Source organism: Homo sapiens, chromosome 7 (assembly GCF_000001405.40).
Source record: "Homo sapiens chromosome 7, GRCh38.p14 Primary Assembly".
Lineage (NCBI taxonomy): Eukaryota > Metazoa > Chordata > Mammalia > Primates > Hominidae > Homo > Homo sapiens.
Genome location: NC_000007.14, coordinates 158,115,966 through 158,135,601, shown reverse-complemented (window position 1 = coordinate 158,135,601; position 19,636 = coordinate 158,115,966). Strand labels below are relative to the sequence as shown.

The window sequence follows — 19,636 nt, the reverse complement described above, 5'->3', positions numbered from 1 at the left end:
TCCCTGACTTTTAGACCACAGGCTTTTCATCCTCCATGCGTGGAATTCTGACTCAGTTCTCTGTTGTTTGGGGTGTATTTTCAAGCAATTCTGTTTCTCAAAAAGGGTATGTGAGTGTTGTATTTTCTGACTTCTTATTTATTTAAAAACATCTTTCTTTTTCTTCTCACATGAAACACAATTTAAGTGACAATATTATGCTTTTTCCTAGCTCTGTTTAGTAACGTCAACGGCTACATCCTATTGTCATTGAGGATCCAAATTTGAGCAGTGTTTTTATCACACTACTATTTTGTTTAAATTTTAAAAAATACAAAAGGAAAAGTTGTAATTTGTAGCCAAAATGGGAATAATTGCCTCTATAGTCCTTCCTTAATTTTCTTAAAAGTGTGTTTTGGCAAAGTGAGTTGTAAAGTGAATCAGATTTTCCTGTTTACATCTAATATAATATTGAAGATATAATTTCATGGTTGGAAAAAAACCCTGCCAAGTAGACATAAGACTTTTGGCATCACATGCACCAGGAGGTGTCCGTGGGTTGCCTGGTATGTGCCAGTGGCAGGAGCAGACCCGGTCTTTCCTAGGAAGCAGTGTAGGGTGCCTGGGAGGGCAGTGCGGCCCAGGGGTGGAGATCATGTCTTTGATGGCCCTTAGACCTGAGTTCCAATTCTGGATCTGATAATCACGACTTTTGTGATCTGGTACCAATAATTTGATATTTAACCTCTGTAAACTCCAGAGTCTACAAATTAAAGGTGAAACTCACCCTTTATTTATGGGGTTGGAGTAGTAATTACATGAGAACCCACACAAAGCAAATCTGTACCCGGTGCATAGTCAGCAGAGGTGCCAGGGGGTTCCGAGGGATGGCTTGTCCAGGAAAAGGGGATCCGGCTGGGAGACTGTAGCCCGTGTGAGGACCACAGATCCCTCAGGTATCGTTAGAATCAATTACACATCCCTGTGATGTGCCCACTTGTGGGTTAATCGCTTTGTGCCTCCGTCTCCCCTTCTGTGAACTGGGGTTACTGAGGGTGCCCCACCCACAGGCTTACGTGAGGACTCAGTGTGTTCATGCAGATAACGCATTTAGTACAGTGCCTTTGTGTGCTGGAAGAGCTCAGTCGTTGCAAATTTGTTATTATTATTATTATTATTTAGTGTTCATTGCTTCTAGAGGGCTGGGGTGGGATCTTGATATCACACAGTTTATTTTTAAAAATATCAATGCCAAAGACCTACACAAACTCTACAAAATCTGATTCTTCAGAGAGGTGTGTGTGTGAGCATGTGTGTGAGAGGGAGCGGGAGGGAGGAGAAAACAGCACGTAAGTGATTCGGATACTCAGCGCCCTCACACCTCATGCTCGGCTAGACATCATTCTAAATATAGACTGCACACACTTCGCCTTCCTCCCACACTCTCCTTCCAGGCTGCCCATGTCATCCCCACAGTGACTCTGTCCCGGGCAGCCCTTGATTGCATGTGTCACATCAGCATTCCTTTCGCAGACGTCCCTCACGGAATGTCCTCTCTGTCAGGTCCATCGTCTGAGTGCCACACTCGGGGGCCTCCTGCAGGACCACGGGTCTCGACTCTTACCTGGAGCCCTCCCCTTTGCAAGGCCCCTCGACATGGAGAGGAAGAAGTCCGAGCACCCTGAGTCTTCCCTGTCTTCAGAAGAGGAGACTGCCGGAGTGGAGAACGTCAAGAGCCAGACGTATTCCAAAGATCTGCTGGGGCAGCAGCCGCATTCGGAGCCCGGGGCCGCTGCGTTTGGGGAGCTCCAAAACCAGATGCCTGGGCCCTCGAAGGAGGAGCAGAGCCTTCCAGCGGGTGCTCAGGAGGCCCTCAGCGACGGCCTGCAATTGGAGGTCCAGCCTTCCGAGGAAGAGGCGCGGGGCTACATCGTGACAGACAGAGAGTGAGTAGCAGCCCTGGCTAAGCTCCTGTGTGCCGAGGGAGGGCTTGTCCCAGCAGGCTGGAGGTGGGGCGCCTCCTTGCTGTGGCGGATGCATACGCTTTTAAGTGTCTTCAACTGAATAATGGGGTGCAGGCATCCCTGGAGTCTCAGGCGCGGAGGGCAGCCAGGTGCCTGGACAGTGGCTCCTCCTGATGCTTCTGAGCTGGGCTCCAGAGCTGGAGAGCCGTTCTCTGAAGGGCATCAAACAAAACCAAACCAAGCAAATCCCTTCCTGGGTTTTTGGTCCTGACTGGTCACCTGCAGGCCGCGCCTCTCTGCGGGTCAGAATCACCTTCAGCGGCGGCCAGGCAGGGTGGGGTCTCGGGGCAGGTAAGTGTACAGCAAAGCCTGAGCACGGCCCGCGCGGGAATGCGGGATGGGACGCGGCCCTGGAAACTGCTGCACCCCGGACTCCTCCTGCCTGTTAGGAAGGACTCCAGGTGCTTTATCTGTTTTGCACCAAAGTGGCCCAAATATCCTGGCGTGGGCGCCCTTCAGAAGGAAGAAGGGGCTTCACAGCAGCGAGCCTCTTTCCCCGCCCTCATGTCGATCTGAACTTAACGAGTCTCAGAATTCAGACATCACGGGCCCAGCAAGGCACAAGTGGCTGGCCCGTTCTCAGGTCACCCCGTTAATGAATCTGACATTTGATGCTTTGCTTTGTACAAGTGTTGTGTTTTCTTCAAGTGATAGAATTGGTGTTTCAAAGAGAAGGACGTGTCTGCCTGGATGTACACACACCCACACGTTTGTATGTGTGTGTATATGAGTGTATGTTGGGTAGGTGTGTGTGTGTATGAGTGTGTATGTTGGGTAGATGTGTGTGTATCTGCATACGCATGTGTGTGTATATGAGTGTGTGTTGGGTAGATGTGTATGTGCGTGTGTGTATAGTGTATGTTGGGTAAATGTGTATCTGTGCGTATGTATATGAATGTGTGTTGGGTAGATGTGTGTGTATCTGTGTGTATATGAGTGTGTAGGGTAGATGTGTATCTGCATCTGTGTATATGAGTGTGTATGTTGGGTAGACATGTATCTGTGCATATGCATGTGTCTATATGAGTGTTGGATAGATGTCTGTGTATGCATGTGTGTGTATATGAGTGTACGTTGGGTAAATGTGTGTGCATCTGTATGTGCATGTGCGTGCGTGTGTGTATACGAGTGTGTGTTGTGTCGATATGTTTGTGCATATGTATGTGTGTATGAGTGTGTGTCGGGTAGATGTGTATTGGTTTGTGCTTATTTGCATGTGTGTGTATGAGTGTATGTCGGGTAGATGTGTATTGGTTTGTGCTTATTTGCATGTGTGTGTATGAGTGTGTATGTCGGGTAGATGTGTATCAGTTTGTGCGTGTGTGTGTGTATGAGTGTGTATGTCGGGTAGATGTGTTATCCGTATGATGTGCATCTGTTCGGGTATTTCGTTGTGTGTATCTGTGCGTGTGTGTGTATATGTGTGTGTGTTTGGTAGATGTGTATCTGTGTATGTACGTGTGTGTGTATGTGTGTTGGATAGGTGTGTGTATCTGTGCATATGTGCGTGTGTGTGTGTGTCAGGTAGATGTGTATCGGTTTGTGCATATTTGTGTGTGTATGAGTGTATATGTCATAGATGTGTATCTATGCATATTTACATGTGTGTGAGTGTGTGTGTTGGGTAGATGTGTATCTGTGCGTATTTGCATGTGTGTGTATGTGTGTCGGGTAGATGTGTATTGGTTTGTGTATATGCCCATGTGTGTGTATGTCAGGTAGATGTGTATCAGTTTGTAGGTATTTGTGTGTGTGTGTGTTGGGTAGATGTGTGTATTTGCGTATTTGTGTGTGTGTGTATGAGTGTGTATGTCGGGTAGATGTGTATCGGTTTGTGCGTATGTGCATGTGTGTGTATGAGTGTGTTGGGTAGATGTGTGTGTATCTGTGCATATTTGCATGTGTGTATGAGTGTGTGTCGGGTAGATGTGTATCGGTTTGTGTGTATGTGCATGTGTGTATGAGTGTGTATGTCGGGTAGATGTGTATTGGTTTGTATGTTCGTGTGTGTGTATGAGTGTGTATGTCGGGTAGCTGTGTATCAGTTTGTATGTACCCGTGTGTGTGTATGAGTGTGTGTGTCGGGTAGATGTGTATTGGTTTGTGTGTATAAGTGTGTGTGTATGAGTGCGTGTGTCAGGTAGATGTGTTTCAGTTTGTATGTTCGTGTGTGTGTTGGGTAGATGTGTATTGGTTTGTATATACGTGTGTGTATGAGTGTGTGTGTCGGGTAGATGTGTATTGGTTTGTGCAAATGTGCATGTGTATGAGTGTGTATGTGGGGTAGATGTGTATTTTTATGATGTGCATCTGTTCAGGTATTTGTGTCTATGCATATTTGCGTGTGTATGTATGTGTGTTTGTTGGGTGTGTGTGTATGTACGTGTGTGTATATGAGTGTGTATGTCAGGTAGATGTGTATTGGTATGATGTGCATCTTCGGGTATTTGTGTGTGTATGTGTGTATGTGCGTATGAGTGTGTGTTTGGTAGATGTGTATCTGTGTATGTGCGTGTGTGTATAAGTGTGTGTGTTGGGCAGGTGTCTGTATGTACGTGTGTGTATAAGTGTGTGTATATGAGTATGTCAGGTAGTGTGTCGATTTCTGCATATGTGTGTTTGTGTATATGTGTGTGTTGGGTAGATGTGTCAGTTTGTGCATATGCATGTGTGTGTATGAGTGTGTGTGTCGGTAGATGTGTATCGGTTTGTGCGTATATGCATGCGTGTATATGAGTGTGTGTGTTGGGTAGATGTGTGTGTATGTACGTGTGTGTATGTGTGTGTGTTGGGTAGATGAGTATTGGTTTGTGCATATGTGCATGTATGTATATGAGTATGTCAGGTAGATGTGTATTGGTTTGTGCGTATGTGCATGTGTGTATATGAGTGTGTGTTGGGTAGATGTGTGTGTCTGTATGTACGTGTGTGTGTATGAGTCAGGTAGATGTGTATTGGTTTGTGCATATGTGCATATGAGTGTGTATGTAGGGTAGATGTGTATTGGTTTGTGCATATGTGCATGTGTGTATATGAGTGTATGTGGGGTAGATGTGTGTATCTGTATGTACGTGTGTGTGTATGAGTGTGTGTGTTGGGTAGAAGTTTGTGCATATGTGCATGTGTGTATATGAGTGTGTTGGGTAGATGTGTATCTGTATGTACGTGTGTGTGTGAGTGTGTATGAGTGTGTGTGTTGGGTAGAAGTGTGTGCATATGTGCATGTGTGTATATGAGTGTGTGTGTCGGGTAGATGTGTATCAGTATGATGTGCGTCTGTTCGGGTATTTCTTCCTTGGTGAAGAAGTACCTCTTATTTTGAGGATCATTCGCACTGGAGGTGGGAGCTGCATGACAGCTAGAACCCATCTGTCCTGCGGGCTCTGCGAGCCTCGCAGTGCTCGGGCTGGTGCTGTCGCTGTGCTGCAGATGCTACATTTCATCAGGGAGAATTAGCTGCATATCATAATTGGGCAGAAATATTTTATCTTGAGCTCAAACCGCAGAGTGTGTATCAAAGCCAAATTAAAATTTAAGATGATTTTCAGCTGTAGGTGATTATCTTAGTTGTATCTTTAGGTAAGTTGTAAGCAGCAGAAACTTGAAGCTTACACTAAAATATGGACTCCATTTTCTCAAGACTGCTTTACATAAGTCAGGATGAGCTTTCCCGTTTCCAGGCTCTTTGCTTGGAGGAGGCGTCCCACGTGTCTGTCTGTGCCCTTGCTCTCCTGTTTGTAGAGTCAGGAACTTCTCATGGCTGTTCATTTCTTTGCTCTCAAGCCCAGTGGAGAATCACAGGCAGGCCCTAAGTGATGTGTTCTGAGGCTGCGTGTCTGCACCAGCAGAGCCAAGGGGAGGCGCCTGCCTCAGCACTGGGTGACGCAGACCATTATCATGACCGATTCCTATGGGTGGTCAAACGCCCTGTGCTGTGGACGTCTCCCTCCCTAGGAAACACTGCTTTGTGTGTGGTGTGGGTGTTATGTGATGTGTGTGTGGTAATGTAGTGATGTGTGGTGTGTGTTGCATGTGGTATGTGTTGCATGTGTGTTGTGTGTAGTGTGTGTTGTATGTGTGGTGTGTAGTATGTTGCATGGTGTGTGTGTGTGCTGTGTGTTGTGGTGCACAGTGTGTTGTATATGTGGTGTGTGGTATGTAGTATGCTGCATGGTGTGGTATGTGTTGCATGTCTGTTGTGTGTAGTGTGTGGTGTGTGTTGTTTGTGTGTGGTGTGCTGTGTGGTGTGTGTTATGTGTAGTGCGTGGTGTACAGTATGTGTGTAGTGTGTGGTGTCCTGTGTGGTTTATGTGTTGTGTGTGGTGTGTAGTGTGTGGTGTGTAGTGTGGGGTGTCTGTTGTGTGTCGTGTGTGGTGTGCTGTGTGGCTTATCTGTTTGTGGTGTGTAGTGTGTGGCGTGGTATGTGTTGTATGTGTGTGGTGTGTAGTGTATGTGTGTAGTGTGTGGTGTGCTGTGTGGTTTATGTGTTGTGTGTGGTGTGTAGTGTGTGGCATGGTGTGTATTGTATTTGTGGTGTGTGTGCATGGTGCACAGTGTGTTGTATATGTGGTGTGTGTGGCACATAGTGTGTTGCATGGTGTGGTGTGTGTTGTAGGTGTGGTGTGGGGTATGTTGTGTGTGTGTGTGTGTGTTTGGTTGCCTGTGTCTCCTCACTCTGTGCTGGAGCCCTCTTTTCTCCTGAAGGCCCCCATGTTGTGTTCGTGGACACTGTGTGTTTCCCTGCAGGTGTCCTGGGGACTTGAGCCACCCTTGCAGGGGGACGGCCGCCCATCCCTGCCCCGGGGTAGGAGAGTGCCCCAGAGAACCAGTGATCTGGTCATTTTAAGGGCTTTCCAAATGGATGCCGAGGTGTTCACCCGGAGAGCAGGAGGCCGGTGTGGTTTGCTAGGGAACCTTCAGAGCCGACAATCCTGTGCCATTGCTGCTAATGGGCTCACCCTGGAGGGAAGGACAGGAGGGCCCCTGTCTGCAGCAGCCTCGCACTTTCTGGGGAAGGAGACCTATCACATTGGGTCATTTCCTGTCTGTGCTTGTGACTTTCCAGTAGAAAAAAGCTAGGGCTTTTCTTTGCATTCGAGTTTATTTTCTTGTAGTGGGTTTGCCGGCCATGCCTTTTGGACTGGAATATTTACCTCCTATGAGCAGTGGGTTAAAGAAAAAAAAAATCATCATGTTATCTTGGCTGACTTCTTTTCTTTTCCTTTGCGACTTCAACTGGTTGGAAGCTATCTGGTGAAGACAGCACAGCTTTTTGTCAGCAATTTGTACTGCTTGAGCAAGGTGTGATGCACTAGGTGAGGTCTCCTCTCTTCTTGCAAGGAGATTGAGGTTTTTGCCCTATTATCAGACTAATAATTTGTGATTCTCTTGGGCAAGTTTTCACCAGATTTCAGCTTAAACCTTAACAGATCAGCTATTAATTTCCAAGACACAGATGGCATTCTTTAAAAAAGGGGGACTTTTGTACATTTGGTTGTCCCACAGAAAGGAGAGGAATGTGGTTTAGAACTCGGTGTCACCTCAGCATCCACATGCTCTTGGTGCTGAGGTTCAGATGGGAGGATGGTAGGGCTCGGCTTTTCCAGGCATGATTTTCTCTCTCACATTTTCTGATGGACACAGTAATCCTTTGCCATTTACATTTTTATCCTTTTTACAAACTAGAGGGATTCTTGAAGACTGGACGAAGGGCAGGACAGCCGCCCCAGTCCTCCAAGGACAACTTTAAAATGATTTCATGTTAGGTTTCCAGAAGGAATCACAGGACGGACACCAGGTATAGGGAGGAGGGAGCCCCTTACCTCTCAGCAAAGAGGAACCTGCCTTCTAAATCCAGAGGCAAGAGCTTCAGAGACCACGGCTCACACACACATGCCTCTCTCTGCCTACCCCAGACCCCACTGGATTGGGATGTATTCTGCGGAACGACCACGCTGAGCCAGTGAGGTGGATTTTGGGGAAGTGAAACCTGTAGTCAGGAAAACATGGGAGCTGAGGCAGAGGCTTGAGTCTGGGGTGGCGGCCACAGTGCTGTTGGAGAAGGTGGCCTGGGCCCTTGACCCACGGAAGTCCGGCATCCAGGGTCAGGGTCCCACGGCAGCCCCGAGACCTAGAATGTGGCAAACGCCCCTGTGCTTGGGTTTCCTGGTCTCTGGAGTGGCAGCCGCAGTGTGTGGCTCCTGGACTGTGGAGAGATGAACGGGGCTCAGGTGGAGCAGAGCCCGGGCCACGTGCAGAGGATGCAGGGCGCAAGCAGAGGAGGACGCAGGGTGCACGCAGAGGAGGACGCAGGGCACAGGTGCACGGATGAGCAGCCTCTGTCAGCAGTGGGAAGAACACAGTGTTGCTTGAAAGAGGAGGAGCCAATGGATTTCCACGAGGGGAAGCTGGAGAGGTTGGAGCCCTGAGTCTTGCGGGGAGGCCGGCTGAGGGAAGAATGTGCAAAAAGTGGCATGGGGCGGCGTTGACCTCTCCGATGCCTCTCAATGCTAACAAGGGAGACAGCTGCAGCTGAAATGTTTCTTCCTTCAAGTGTTTCTTATGACAAAACTTTCTTGCACCTCGGAGAAGGCAAGCAGCAAAATGGCAGATGGTACCGGGCCACCGTTAGGGGCTGCTGCGTGCTCACCTCTGTGGGGGTTCAGTTGGAATGTGGAATTCAGAGAGGCCAGTGAAGGCAGGGATCCGCCGGCCAGGGAGAGGAACTTTGGAACCAGAAGTCTGGAAGGAGGTGGGGGCTTCGGTCTCTCCATCTGCCACCCTCAGTGAGTGCCCTGGCCCTGCAGGTTCCCCCAGCCCCTTCCTCGGCTCACTGTGAGATGTGAAATGTGAAACCCACCGAGTGCTCAGGAACCACTGCCCGCTCTCCGGGGGCTGGTGTGGCGGAGAGGAAGTTCCGCCGCCCGCTGTCCTGGGGGCTGGTGTGGTGGAGAGGAAGTTCCGCCGCCCGCTCTCCGGGGGCTGGTGTGGCGGAGAGGAAGTTCCGCCGCCCGCTGTCCTGGGGGCTGGTGTGGCGGAGAGGAAGTTCCGCCGCCCGCTCTCCGGGGGCTGGTGTGGCGGAGAGGAAGTTCCGCCGCCCGCTGTCCTGGGGGCTGGTGTGGCGGAGAGGAAGTTCCGCCGCCCGCTGTCCTGGGGGCTGGTGTGGCGGAGAGGAAGTTCCGCCGCCCGCTGTCCTGGGGGCTGGTGTGGCGGAGAGGAAGTTCCGCCGCCCGCTCTCCGGGGATGGTGTGGCGGAGAGGAAGTTCCGCCGCCCGCTGTCCTGGGGGCTGGTGTGGCGGAGAGGAAGTTCCGCCGCCCGCTGTCCTGGGGGCTGGTGTGGCGGAGAGGAAGTTCCGCCGCCCGCTCTCCGGGGATGGTGTGGCGGAGAGGAAGTTCCGCCGCCGCTGTCCTGGGGGCTGGTGTGGCGGAGAGGAAGTTCCGCCGCCCGCTGTCCTGGGGGCTGGTGTGGCGGAGAGGAAGTTCCGCCGCCCGCTGTCCTGGGGGCTGGTGTGGCGGAGAGGAAGTTCCGCCGCCCGCTGTCCTGGGGGCTGGTGTGGCGGAGAGGAAGTTCCGCCGCCCGCTCTCCGGGGCTGGTGTGGTGGAGAGGAAGTTCCAATCCTAGTGGCTGCCCAGGAGGCCTCACCGCTCAGGAGCCCCTCAGGGGTTCAGCGAGAAGAGCGCATCACGAGAACCAGCAGGGTGCCAGGACGGGGTGCAGCCGAGGTCCGGACTGATGCTTCCTGCTCGTCCTTCCTTGTTAGAGTAAAGGAAACCCTGAGGATGCTGAAGATGGATTCTGTGTTTCTGGCGCCAGGGCAGATTTCAGGGGTTCTGTTTTGTTCTTCAGCCTCCACGCTGTGTTGTGACTTCCTGTTCAGAAAGCGCAGTCCTCACCTCTGTAGAGGCCCCTCCTGAGGGCGGACATGCCCTGCCTTGTCACTTGCTCCTCTTTGCTTTGTGGTCTTAAAAGAATATCTGTAGCATGATGGATTTATTATCATTTAAGAAGATTTCAGGTGGTGTGGGGTTATAGCCCCGATGGGTAAACATGTTCACGGTTGCTTGTACATTAGAAGAGAAGAAGGCGAGAAGGAGTGGCATGGGGGTGGGGCAGGAAAAAGAGGAAGAAGAAGTAAACAAAAACTCTCCCAAACCTCAGCATCCCCGACAGTCCAGCCCATCCTGCTGGGAGCGGCCGTGGGAAGTACGCGAGGCAGGGGGGTGGCCGTGGGAGGGACGCGAGGCAGGGGGCGGCTGTGGGAGGGACTTGAGGCAGGGAGGTGGCCCTGGGAGGGACTTGAGGCAGGGGGTCGGCCGTGGGAGGGACTTGAGGCAGGGAGGTGGCCCTGGGAGGGACTCGAGACAGGGGGGCAGCCCTGGGAGGGACTTCAGGCAGGGAGGTGGCCCTGGGAGGGACTCGAGACAGGGAGGCGGCCGTGGGAGGCACTTGAGGCAGGGGGGTGGCCATGGTTGGGCCTGAGCCATGTCTCGCCAGCCCGGCAGCTCAGTGGGCTCTGTGCCCCACCCGGCTCCCTCCATGGCCAGCTGTCTCCCCTCCTATGGCTCCATCCATGCTGTCTCCCCTTCTCCCCTCTTCCCTTCTCCCACCCTGGTCCAGGCCATCTGAGCCTCTTGCCTCCGCACTGCGGGGCCTTCTCTCTTGCGCACCAGCATCACGGCTCTTTCTTTCTCACCCGCCGTGCACGTTGAACCCAAAGAGGACTCGACAAAACCAAATCTGGCCCCGTCACCCTCTCCTGTTGGAATCTGGCTGTGACTCCACTGGTCCTGAGATACAGACCCCAGCCCCAGCGTGGCCCAGGCTGACCAGCAGCTCTGCAGGTGCATCTTGGGGACACTCCACCAGGCCCTCCCTCCGCCCCGGCAGCTGGGCTCCTGCAGAAGGTCCCAGCTCTGCACCTGTCCCGTCTGGGAGGCAGCTTCCTGTTCACGTCTTCTCCCCATTCAGAGAGGTCTGTCCACACCCCTCTTTCCCAAGTCTCTTTGTCACCAATTTTCCATTATGTTTCTTCAAGACTCTGAGCATCTGGCCAAACCATTGGCCATGGCCTATTAATTTGTAATAATCACACATTTGGCTATTTCTCTTTCCAAGCAAAGTAAACCAGATGTACAGCCTATAGTTCTGCCCATTGGAGAATTTCCCTTCACCGCTGTCCTTTTAAGGATGTTCCAGAAAGGGGCAGTAGTGCTGCAGTTGTCCACTAACGTGGGGGCCTGCATATCATGCAGAACCATCTGTAAACCAGGCCCAGGTCTTCCTCCGTCAGCTGATTTTAGGGAACTCTCCAGGAGACTGTAGGTGCAGGCTGGGAGAGAGAAGGCAGCATAGCGGGAGTGGGGACCGTTGGCATTGGCGGCACTTCTTTATGTAACTTGTGCCTTTAGGGCCTACTTAGGCCCAGACACATACCACTTCCATTTGATGATGGAATGCTGCTGTGTACACCCAACTTTCTGGCTTGGTGGGTCGGAAAACATTCAGTTCATGATGGGCAACTCAGGTCCCATGGTAACTTGGTGGTCCATGTCGGCACGGGATCTGAGGTCGAATCAGATTAGAGAACCAGCTCCGCCTGGGTCGGCACGGGATCTGAGGCTGAATCAGATTAGAGAACCAGCTCCGCCTGGGTCGGCACGGGATCTGAGGTCAAATCAGGTTAGAGAGCCTGTTCCGCCTGGGTCGGCACGGGATCTGAGATCCAATCAGATTAGAGAACCAGCTCTGCCTGGGTCAGCACGGGTTCACGGCTCCTGCTGGAGGCACTTCCCGATCCTATTTGGCACACTTTTTAAAGGTGACGCTATATAGACCTTCCGTACCTAGATCTTTAGTTAGCTGCTGGCATTTAAAAAGTGTTTATAGTGAGCAGTACAGTCTCATCCTTATGCCAAAAAATAAGTTGTCAGAATACAGTGGTTTTCCTCTATTGATTTTCTGCCTGGAAGAGTCGATGGTGTGGACAGCCCCACTAGCAGTGGTCCAGGGTCGTTGGCCTGGGTGCGGCACACGAGCTCCGGGGCTGCATGGCGGTCCGCAGGAGGAAGGTTCAGTTTGGGTGCACAAAGCATCAAAACCTCCTTCTCCCAGACCCTGACATTAGACTCCTGCAGGAAGAGAGTGGGCGTGCAGGGGATCCAGGGTGGAGACAGACATGGTGTCGGTCACTGCGGCGTCGGTCACCATGGCGTCGGTCACCGTGGTGTCTGTAGGATACTGTGGCGCCTGTCAGTCACCACGCGTTGGTCAGGGCACCTCCCCAGCCCACTGTTTGCCACCCTCGAAGCGTTGCTTCTCTGCATGGGGGAGGTTCCCGTGGGCTGGAAACATTTTAACTACTTTATAAGATGATTTAAATAGAATAAATTTCATGGTTTGTTTTAATGATGAACAGGGATAACTAGAATAATTGGTTGATCCCAAGAAACCTCGTTTATCTATTGGTTTTGAGTATTGTCTTATCAAAAGAGTTTATATCAAAGTTGACTCATTTTCCCTTCACATTTGGCTCCCTAGCTCCTGGTGGGTTTTGCAGTAAATAGTAAAATGTCCCAGATCGGGCTGGTGAAGCTGCAGAAGCACAGAGCATGGTCAGCAGGAGGGTCGGTCATGGCGGGTCCTGTTCTTGGCTTGATTTCATCTGGCCCACAAGGAAGAGGCAGTAACAAGGCTGCCAAAATGAGACGTGGAGAAGTTTTATGCAGGCTTCCTTCGGTTTTGTTAAGAACAAGTGTAGGTCGCAACAGGTCCCCGGGCTCACCCCACCTTTCTGGGCACCTACGTTGGAACATAGCCTGAATGATAAAGTGTTCCGTTTGAGCTTTTCTCCTGGGAGTTTCCTAGTAGTGTAATTTTGGGCAATGACTTTAGTTTCTCTAGCCTCGGTTTCTCTTTTAAATGAGGCCAATAATAGTGTGTTCCTCAGGGGTCTGCTGAATGCCAGATCCCACCGCTGTGTGGGGCCTCAGTGTGGCGTCCAGCACAGGAGCTTCCCAGAGTTTTTACTACTCTTTATATTTCCGACCCCTACGTACTTTTCACTAGTCTGATTTTTAGGGGTGACACTCCCGTAGTCATTTTCTGCTCATGCGTCCACCCGTGCACTCATTTCGGGGTGATGTGGATGCCACACGGAAGACCCAGCACTGTGCCGGGGCTGAGAGGACACCGTGGAAGAGGGACACTGTCACTTCTTACTCTGAGCCTCCCTCCAGTGAGTGCTTGCCGAGGCCTTAGGGCCTCCCATGTGGCTGATTCAGTAGATCCATAGGAACAGGCTTGTCCAACGTGGTTGAGCTTAGAGACGTCACAAACTTGCCACTGTCCTTCAGAACTGAAAGACTCTAGAGAGAGGAGACGCCATCTTCAGCTTTGAAAGTCCTTTCCACTGCCCTCACAGGCACTCCTAGCTCTGACCCTGACCCCATAAAAGTTCTCATGCCTGTTTCTCTTCTACGGCAATATTAGTGTCCAGGTATTGAGGGTGGAAGCCGCCACATGCAGACACAGCACGTCGCACCTGCTGGATCCTCCCACTCATTTTCAGGATGACGTCCAACTGCTTTCTAAGGAAGTTCAGGCCTCGGAATGACAGATGATGGCTGTGGCTTTAGAGATGAAATAGGAATGGCTGCGTGATCATTGTGAGCACAGTCAGCCCTGTCTTGTTTGTCTGCTTTACAGAATGGAGCCAGCACTCTTCTGCTTTACAGAGGAGCCGTGATGCCCCTGCCCACCTGGCCGGCACTGTCACCCTTGCCAGGCTGAGGAAGGAAGGGAGTGGACTGCACGTCCCGTACACTTTGTATAACTGGGGACACCTTGGCTTGTGGAGGCAGCGGGTTCACAAACACATTCTGGGCTTGTGGACTTCCTTGTTGTGTTCAGGGTGTTGTAGGAGTCTTGTGGATGCTTCTGTTGGTTTCCATATTGGAGCATGGAGGGCAGAGGGCTGGGCCCAGGATTCGTGGTGGAGCCCCTCCCATGTCCTCATACCATCCCCTTGGTTTGAAACATGCTAGAAAAGGAGACTCATGGAATTTGGTAGCAAACATTGATTGGGAAGTTGGCTTATGCTCCGCAGGGGGCAGTAGGCTTGGAAGAAACAAACTCAGATGACACGTGGCTCCTGCCCTCAATGAGTTTGCAGTTTGTAGGGGGAGGCAGGATTAAAATATGAAAGTACTGGAGACCTTTTAAAATAAGTCATGAGCTGAGTGGTGCTGATCAAAGCACACAGGGAGTTTTAGGGAAAGCCTGAAGAGCAGCAGTTTCTGTCTTTGCTGATTGGAGTGGTGTGGTCGGTCCTAGCCTTCTCCACCTGCCCTTCTGCACCTGCCCTCTTCCTAATGGCTCCAAGGATGGGGAGGCCCAGGGAGGCTGGGGTGCAGGGGGCTGAGGCAAGGCAGGTCAGCGATGGGAGCAGGTAGGCTGGCCCTTTGGAGCAGTCACCACCAGGCCCAGGCAGAGAGAAAAGCCCAGGCTGCTGGGGAGCACAGGAGCCGGGAGGAAGGAACCTGCAGCCACACGAAAAAAAGGAAGGGCTCATCTGGAAGCATCGCACTTGCCTGCCAGGAGGGTTTGGCTTGGAGCAGGGAGGCTGGTTGGATGCAAGTCTGGAGTTCCCAGCAGCCTGGGCTGGTCTCAGCCGGGGTGGAGCTGAGCCGGCTGTGGTGGGTCATTGCTCTGTCCAGCTGCAGCCTGAGTTTGTCTTTGTAGCCCCGCCTGGCTCCCTTCCCTGTTGCCTCCCTTCTGGCCCAACATCTGGCCATTCTGACACTTTTTCTGGCACCAGTGCCCTTCACAAGCTGTTCAGATGGCCCTGGAGGATGTTTTGGGACAGGAGCTGACCTGGGTTAGAGCAGACATCCAAAATGTACAGGAAAAGAGAGGACATCTGGGACCCCTCCCCTTCCAGCAGCCACTCTTTAAAGGAAAATGGCTTGTTTCTCAATTGTAAAATTACACAGAATGCAGCCTTGAAAAATCCACTTTAAAGAACACGCCACAGGCTTTCCTTGGAGACAGGGAGCAGAAAGGAGCTTTGCCAGGGATCCAGCAGGAACTTGGCTCAGCTTTCTCCGTGAGCCACAAGGAGTGTTCTGCTGAAATAGAGATTGGACGAAGGCTGGTACACTGCCTTGGATGTGGGGAGCAGCCACACGTCATGGTGCTTTTATACTAATCACCTTGTTTCATCTTCCCAATTTCTTGTATTTTATTAACATATAGATAACATAAAGTTTACTGTCTTACCCATGTTTAAGCATAGAATTCAGTAGCGTTAACATTTGTGCTATTGTGCAACCATCACCGCTGTCCATCCCCAGAGCTCTTTTCATCCTGTAAAACTGAAGTTTCATCCCCATTAAACACTACCCTACCCCAGCCCCTGGCAGCCTTCACTCTACTCTGTGTCTCTCTGAATTTGAGGATTCTAGGAACCTCACATGGGTAGACACACAGAATTTGTCCTTTTATGCCCAGGTTATTTCAGTTACCATCATGTTTCAGGGTTCATCCCTGTTGTCGCATGTGTCTGAATTTCTTCCTGTTCAGGGCTAAATAATATTCTACTTTTGGTGCAGGCCACGCTTTGCTCCTCCATTTGTCCATCACTAGGCCCTTCAGTTGCCCCCATGCTTTAGTGATTGAGAATAATGCGGCTGTGAATGTGAGGCACTAACATCTCTTTGAGACCCTGTTTTCAATTCTTTTGGGCAAAGTAGTCTCCCCCTTATCTAAGGGGGAGACATTCCAGGAACCCCAGTGGATGCTTGAAACTTCAGATAGTGCAGAACCCTATATAAACTATGGCTTTTCCTATACATACATACCTATGATAAAGTTTAATTTATAAATTAGAGTATGAGATTAACAACAGTAGTGATAAAATAGAACAATTATAACAATTTACTGTAATAGAAGTTGTGTAAATATGGTGTCTCTCTCTCTCTCTCTCTCCCTCTTTCAAATATCTTCTTGTACTGTACCTCAGGTACCTAAAACACAGAAAACAAACTGCAGCTAATGGGGGACTACTGTAGATACCAAGGAGTGGAGTTACTCGATCAAAGTGCAATTCTATTTTTCATTTTTTTGAGGAGTCTCCATACTCTTCCACACTTGATATACCGTGTTACATTCTCACCAACAAGGCACAGGAGTTCCAATTTAGCCACATCTTTGCCAACGTTTACTATTTTCTGGGTTTTTTTCTTCTTACAGTGGCCATCCTGATAGGTATGAGGTGGTATCACATTGTAGTTTTGATTTGTGTTTTCCTAATGATTAGTGATGTTGAGCATCTTTTCATGTGCTTTTGGCCATTTGTATATTTTCTTTGGAGGAAAATGTCTATTCAAGTCCTTTGCCCATTTTTAAATGGTATTGTTTGTATTTTTGTTGTTGAGTTTTAAGAGTACTCTATACACGCTAGGTACATTATGAGGTTTCTTAAATAGTGATGTAAATATTTTACTTTCCTTTAATAGTCAAAATGAGAAATTTTACGTTAAACTAAAAATGTAGCAATAATACACTCACAGTGCTATCTCTTATATTAAAAGAAGATATTGGCCAGGTGTGGTGGCTGATGCCTATAATTTCAGTACTTTGGGAGACCAAAGTGGTGGATTTCTTGAGCCCAGGAGCTTGAGACCAGCCTGGGCAACATGGCAAAACCCCATCTCTACAAAAAATAGAAAAGTTAGCAAGGCATGCTGGCATGAACTTGTAATGTCAGCAAATGGGAAGGCTGAGGTGGGAGGATCACCTGAGCCTGGAAAGGTTGAGGCTGCAGTGAGCAACGATCATGCCACTGCACTCCAGCCTGGGCGACAAAAAAAGAAGACATTATTGACATGCTTGAAAACAAAGACTGTCATGTTTATGCTTATAGTTAATGCAAATAGATATCCCTTGTTGTGTACTATAGAAATAGTCCTTAAAAGATCTGTGGAATATCATATTTTGCTAATCTCTGTCTTTTGATTGGAGAGTTTAATCTATTTACATTTAAAGTAATTAATGATGAGGAGGGACTTCTGTCATTTTAATATTTGTTTTCTATGTGCATTATGGATTTTTTGCCACTCATTTTCTGCATTACTATCTTCTTTTGTGTTTAGTAGATTTTTAAAAATTAAATGCCTAAATTCCTTTCTTCTTTTTGTACGTATTATGTAGCTATTTTCTTTGTATTTATCATAGAGGATTAGATTTAACATCTGAAAATTACAACACTAACTTAAATTTATACTAGCTTGACTTCAATAACATACAAAAATTATGCTCCTTTATGCTATTTACCCACCCTTTTTGGCTATTGATATCACAAAATTGCATCCTTATACATTGTATGTCCCAGGATATAAACTAATAATTGTTTAAAATTTATTCGTTTCTTAAATTATGTAGAAAACAAAATGTGGAGTTACAAACCAAAGTTATAATACTAGTTTTAACTAGTAATTGTTTTTAAGATATGTACTAGTCTCTTAAATCATATAGAGAACTAAAAGGAGTTACAAACCACTGTTACAATAATACTATATTTTATAATTCACCATATATTTGCCTTTATTGAGATTTTAATTTTTTATATGGCTTTGAGTTATTGTCCAGTGTCCTTTCATTTCATCCTGCAGGGCTCCTTGGAATATTTCTTGCAAGGCAGGTCTAGTGATAACAAACTCTCTCAGCTTTGGTTTATCTAAGAATGTCTTAATTTCTTCTTCACTTTTGAAGTGCAATTTTGTTGGATATAGGATTCTTGGTTGACAGGTTTTTTTTTTCTTTTCCTGTAGCACTTGGAATATATTGGTTCACTGCTTTCTGTTCTGCAAAGTTTCTGCTGATAATATTATTTGGAAAGCCTGGTGTGTGATGAACTGCTTCTTTCTTGCTGCTTTCAAATGTAAGAGGAGAATTCTCTGTTTGTCCTTGTCTTTTAACAATTTAGTTAAAATGTGTCTCTGAGTTAATTTTACTTGGAGTTCACTGAGCTTCTTGGATGCTTATATCCATGTCTTTCATCAAACTTGGGAAGTTTTCAGGTATTGTTCTTCAAGTATTTTCTCTGCCCCTTTATCTCTTTTTTTTCTTTTGGGCACAATTTCCTCTCACAATTCATATACTGGTTCTCTTAGTGGTATCCCACATGTCCCTTAGGGTTTTGTCACTTTTCTTCAATCTTTTTTTCTATTTCTTAGACTGAATAATTTCCATTGTCCTATCTTCAAGTTCACTGATTCTTTATTTTTCTTGCTCAAATCTGCCTTTGAATCTCTCTAGTGAACTTTTTAATTTCAGCTATTGTATTTTGAGCTTCAGAATTTCTTTTATATTTTAGGTTTTCTCTTTGACATTTTCATTTTTCATACATAATTTTTCTGACTTTCTTTACATCTTTCTTTTGTTCTTCAAGCATTTTTATGACAATTGTTTTAAAGTCTTTGCCTAGTACATCTGCCATCAGGTCTTTTTTTAGAGACAATTATTGTTGACTTACCTTTTTCCTTTGAATGGGCTGTAGTTTCTTGTTTCTTTGTTTCTTGTTTCTTGCAATTTTTTGTTGAAAACTAGAAATTTTAATCTAACTCTGGAAATCAGATTGTCTCTCCATAGGTTTGCTATTTTTTGTTTATCTTTCTTTTAAATTTTTTGTAGGCTGTCTTTGTGCCAAGGATCAGCCTGAGGTGTAAACTTGTGGTATTATCTGAGCCTTTCCCTGAGCATGTGTGGTGACTTTCTAATTTTCCCTGTATATTCAGTTACTTTTGAATATTCTGGTCTTTAATTTCTGGCTCCCAAAAGCGGAAAAAGAGAAAAATGAAGGTGGGAAAAATGGGTGTTAGCATTTTAAATCCCCTGTAAGTCATTTTGGCCAGAGGGGGAGGAGCAACAACAATGAGGAGGTGGCCAAACAATGGTGCCCTCCTCCTTTCCTGCACCTCTGTGATGAGAAGCAGCAATCAGCAGTGAGATTGCAGATTCCCAATATTTGGAGGACAACATCTGTATTGCCTGTTCTGGCTCCTGCCAGTGTGTGCAGGCTGCTCCAGGAACATGTGCACAGCTGCTTGCCACAGGGCTGAAGGTGAGTAGCGGTAGCTCCTACTGTGATGAAAGCTGACATTGACTGCAAGGTGTATCCAGACCTTCCACTAGAAGTCGGAGGCCTTCATTAGGCTTCAGAGTTCAAGGATCAGTTACATCAGACAGATCCTACTAGCACAGTGTTGTCAGGTGGGAGACAGATTCCTGGTGTTTCCTACTCACCATCTTCCCAAAACTAATTCATGCTTTACTTTAGTTTTACAGAAACTTTATAAATTGAGTGGGGTTCATTTAATAGTTTACATTTTAATGATTTTTAAAATGTTGGATTTTTTGCTGTTTTTGACATTCTCGTGTTCATTCATTCATGCAGTTAATGCCAATGTAGAATCTACTTGTGGAATGAGTACTTGTGTCCATGTGCAGGGAGAGGTGCATGGTGCAGTAGCCAAAGCCTACCCCACGTGGGTGAGGTCCTTACTTCACCGCTCCATGCAGGGTGTGCAGAGCGGGCCTGTCTTATAAAACTCAAGTTCCCAGTTACTCACCTGAG

The 19,636-nt window shown here is 48.2% G+C and overlaps 1 protein-coding gene across 14 annotated transcripts in view, besides 1 other annotated feature; it reads left to right on the top strand.

Moving 5' to 3' along the window:
* PTPRN2 (protein tyrosine phosphatase receptor type N2) overlaps window positions 1-19,636 on the top strand; it is a 1,048,768-nt gene that overhangs the window by 452,222 nt on the left and 576,910 nt on the right. For all 14 annotated transcript variants that reach the window (XM_047420678.1, NM_130842.4, XM_047420679.1 and 11 more), the window contains one exon: window positions 1,543-1,925. In XM_047420678.1, the coding sequence (XP_047276634.1) occupies window positions 1,543-1,925 (383 nt within the window). The remainder of the gene's footprint in view (window positions 1-1,542; window positions 1,926-19,636) is intronic.
* Window positions 1,700-2,242: an enhancer, noted in NCBI's record as "H3K4me1 hESC enhancer chr7:157926052-157926594 (GRCh37/hg19 assembly coordinates)". NCBI's record gives its function as "activates a minimal SCP1, AML or CMV promoter by ChIP-STARR-seq in primed H9 embryonic stem cells {active_cell/tissue: H9 hESC(primed)}" and the evidence as "EXISTENCE:reporter gene assay evidence [ECO:0000049][PMID:30033119]".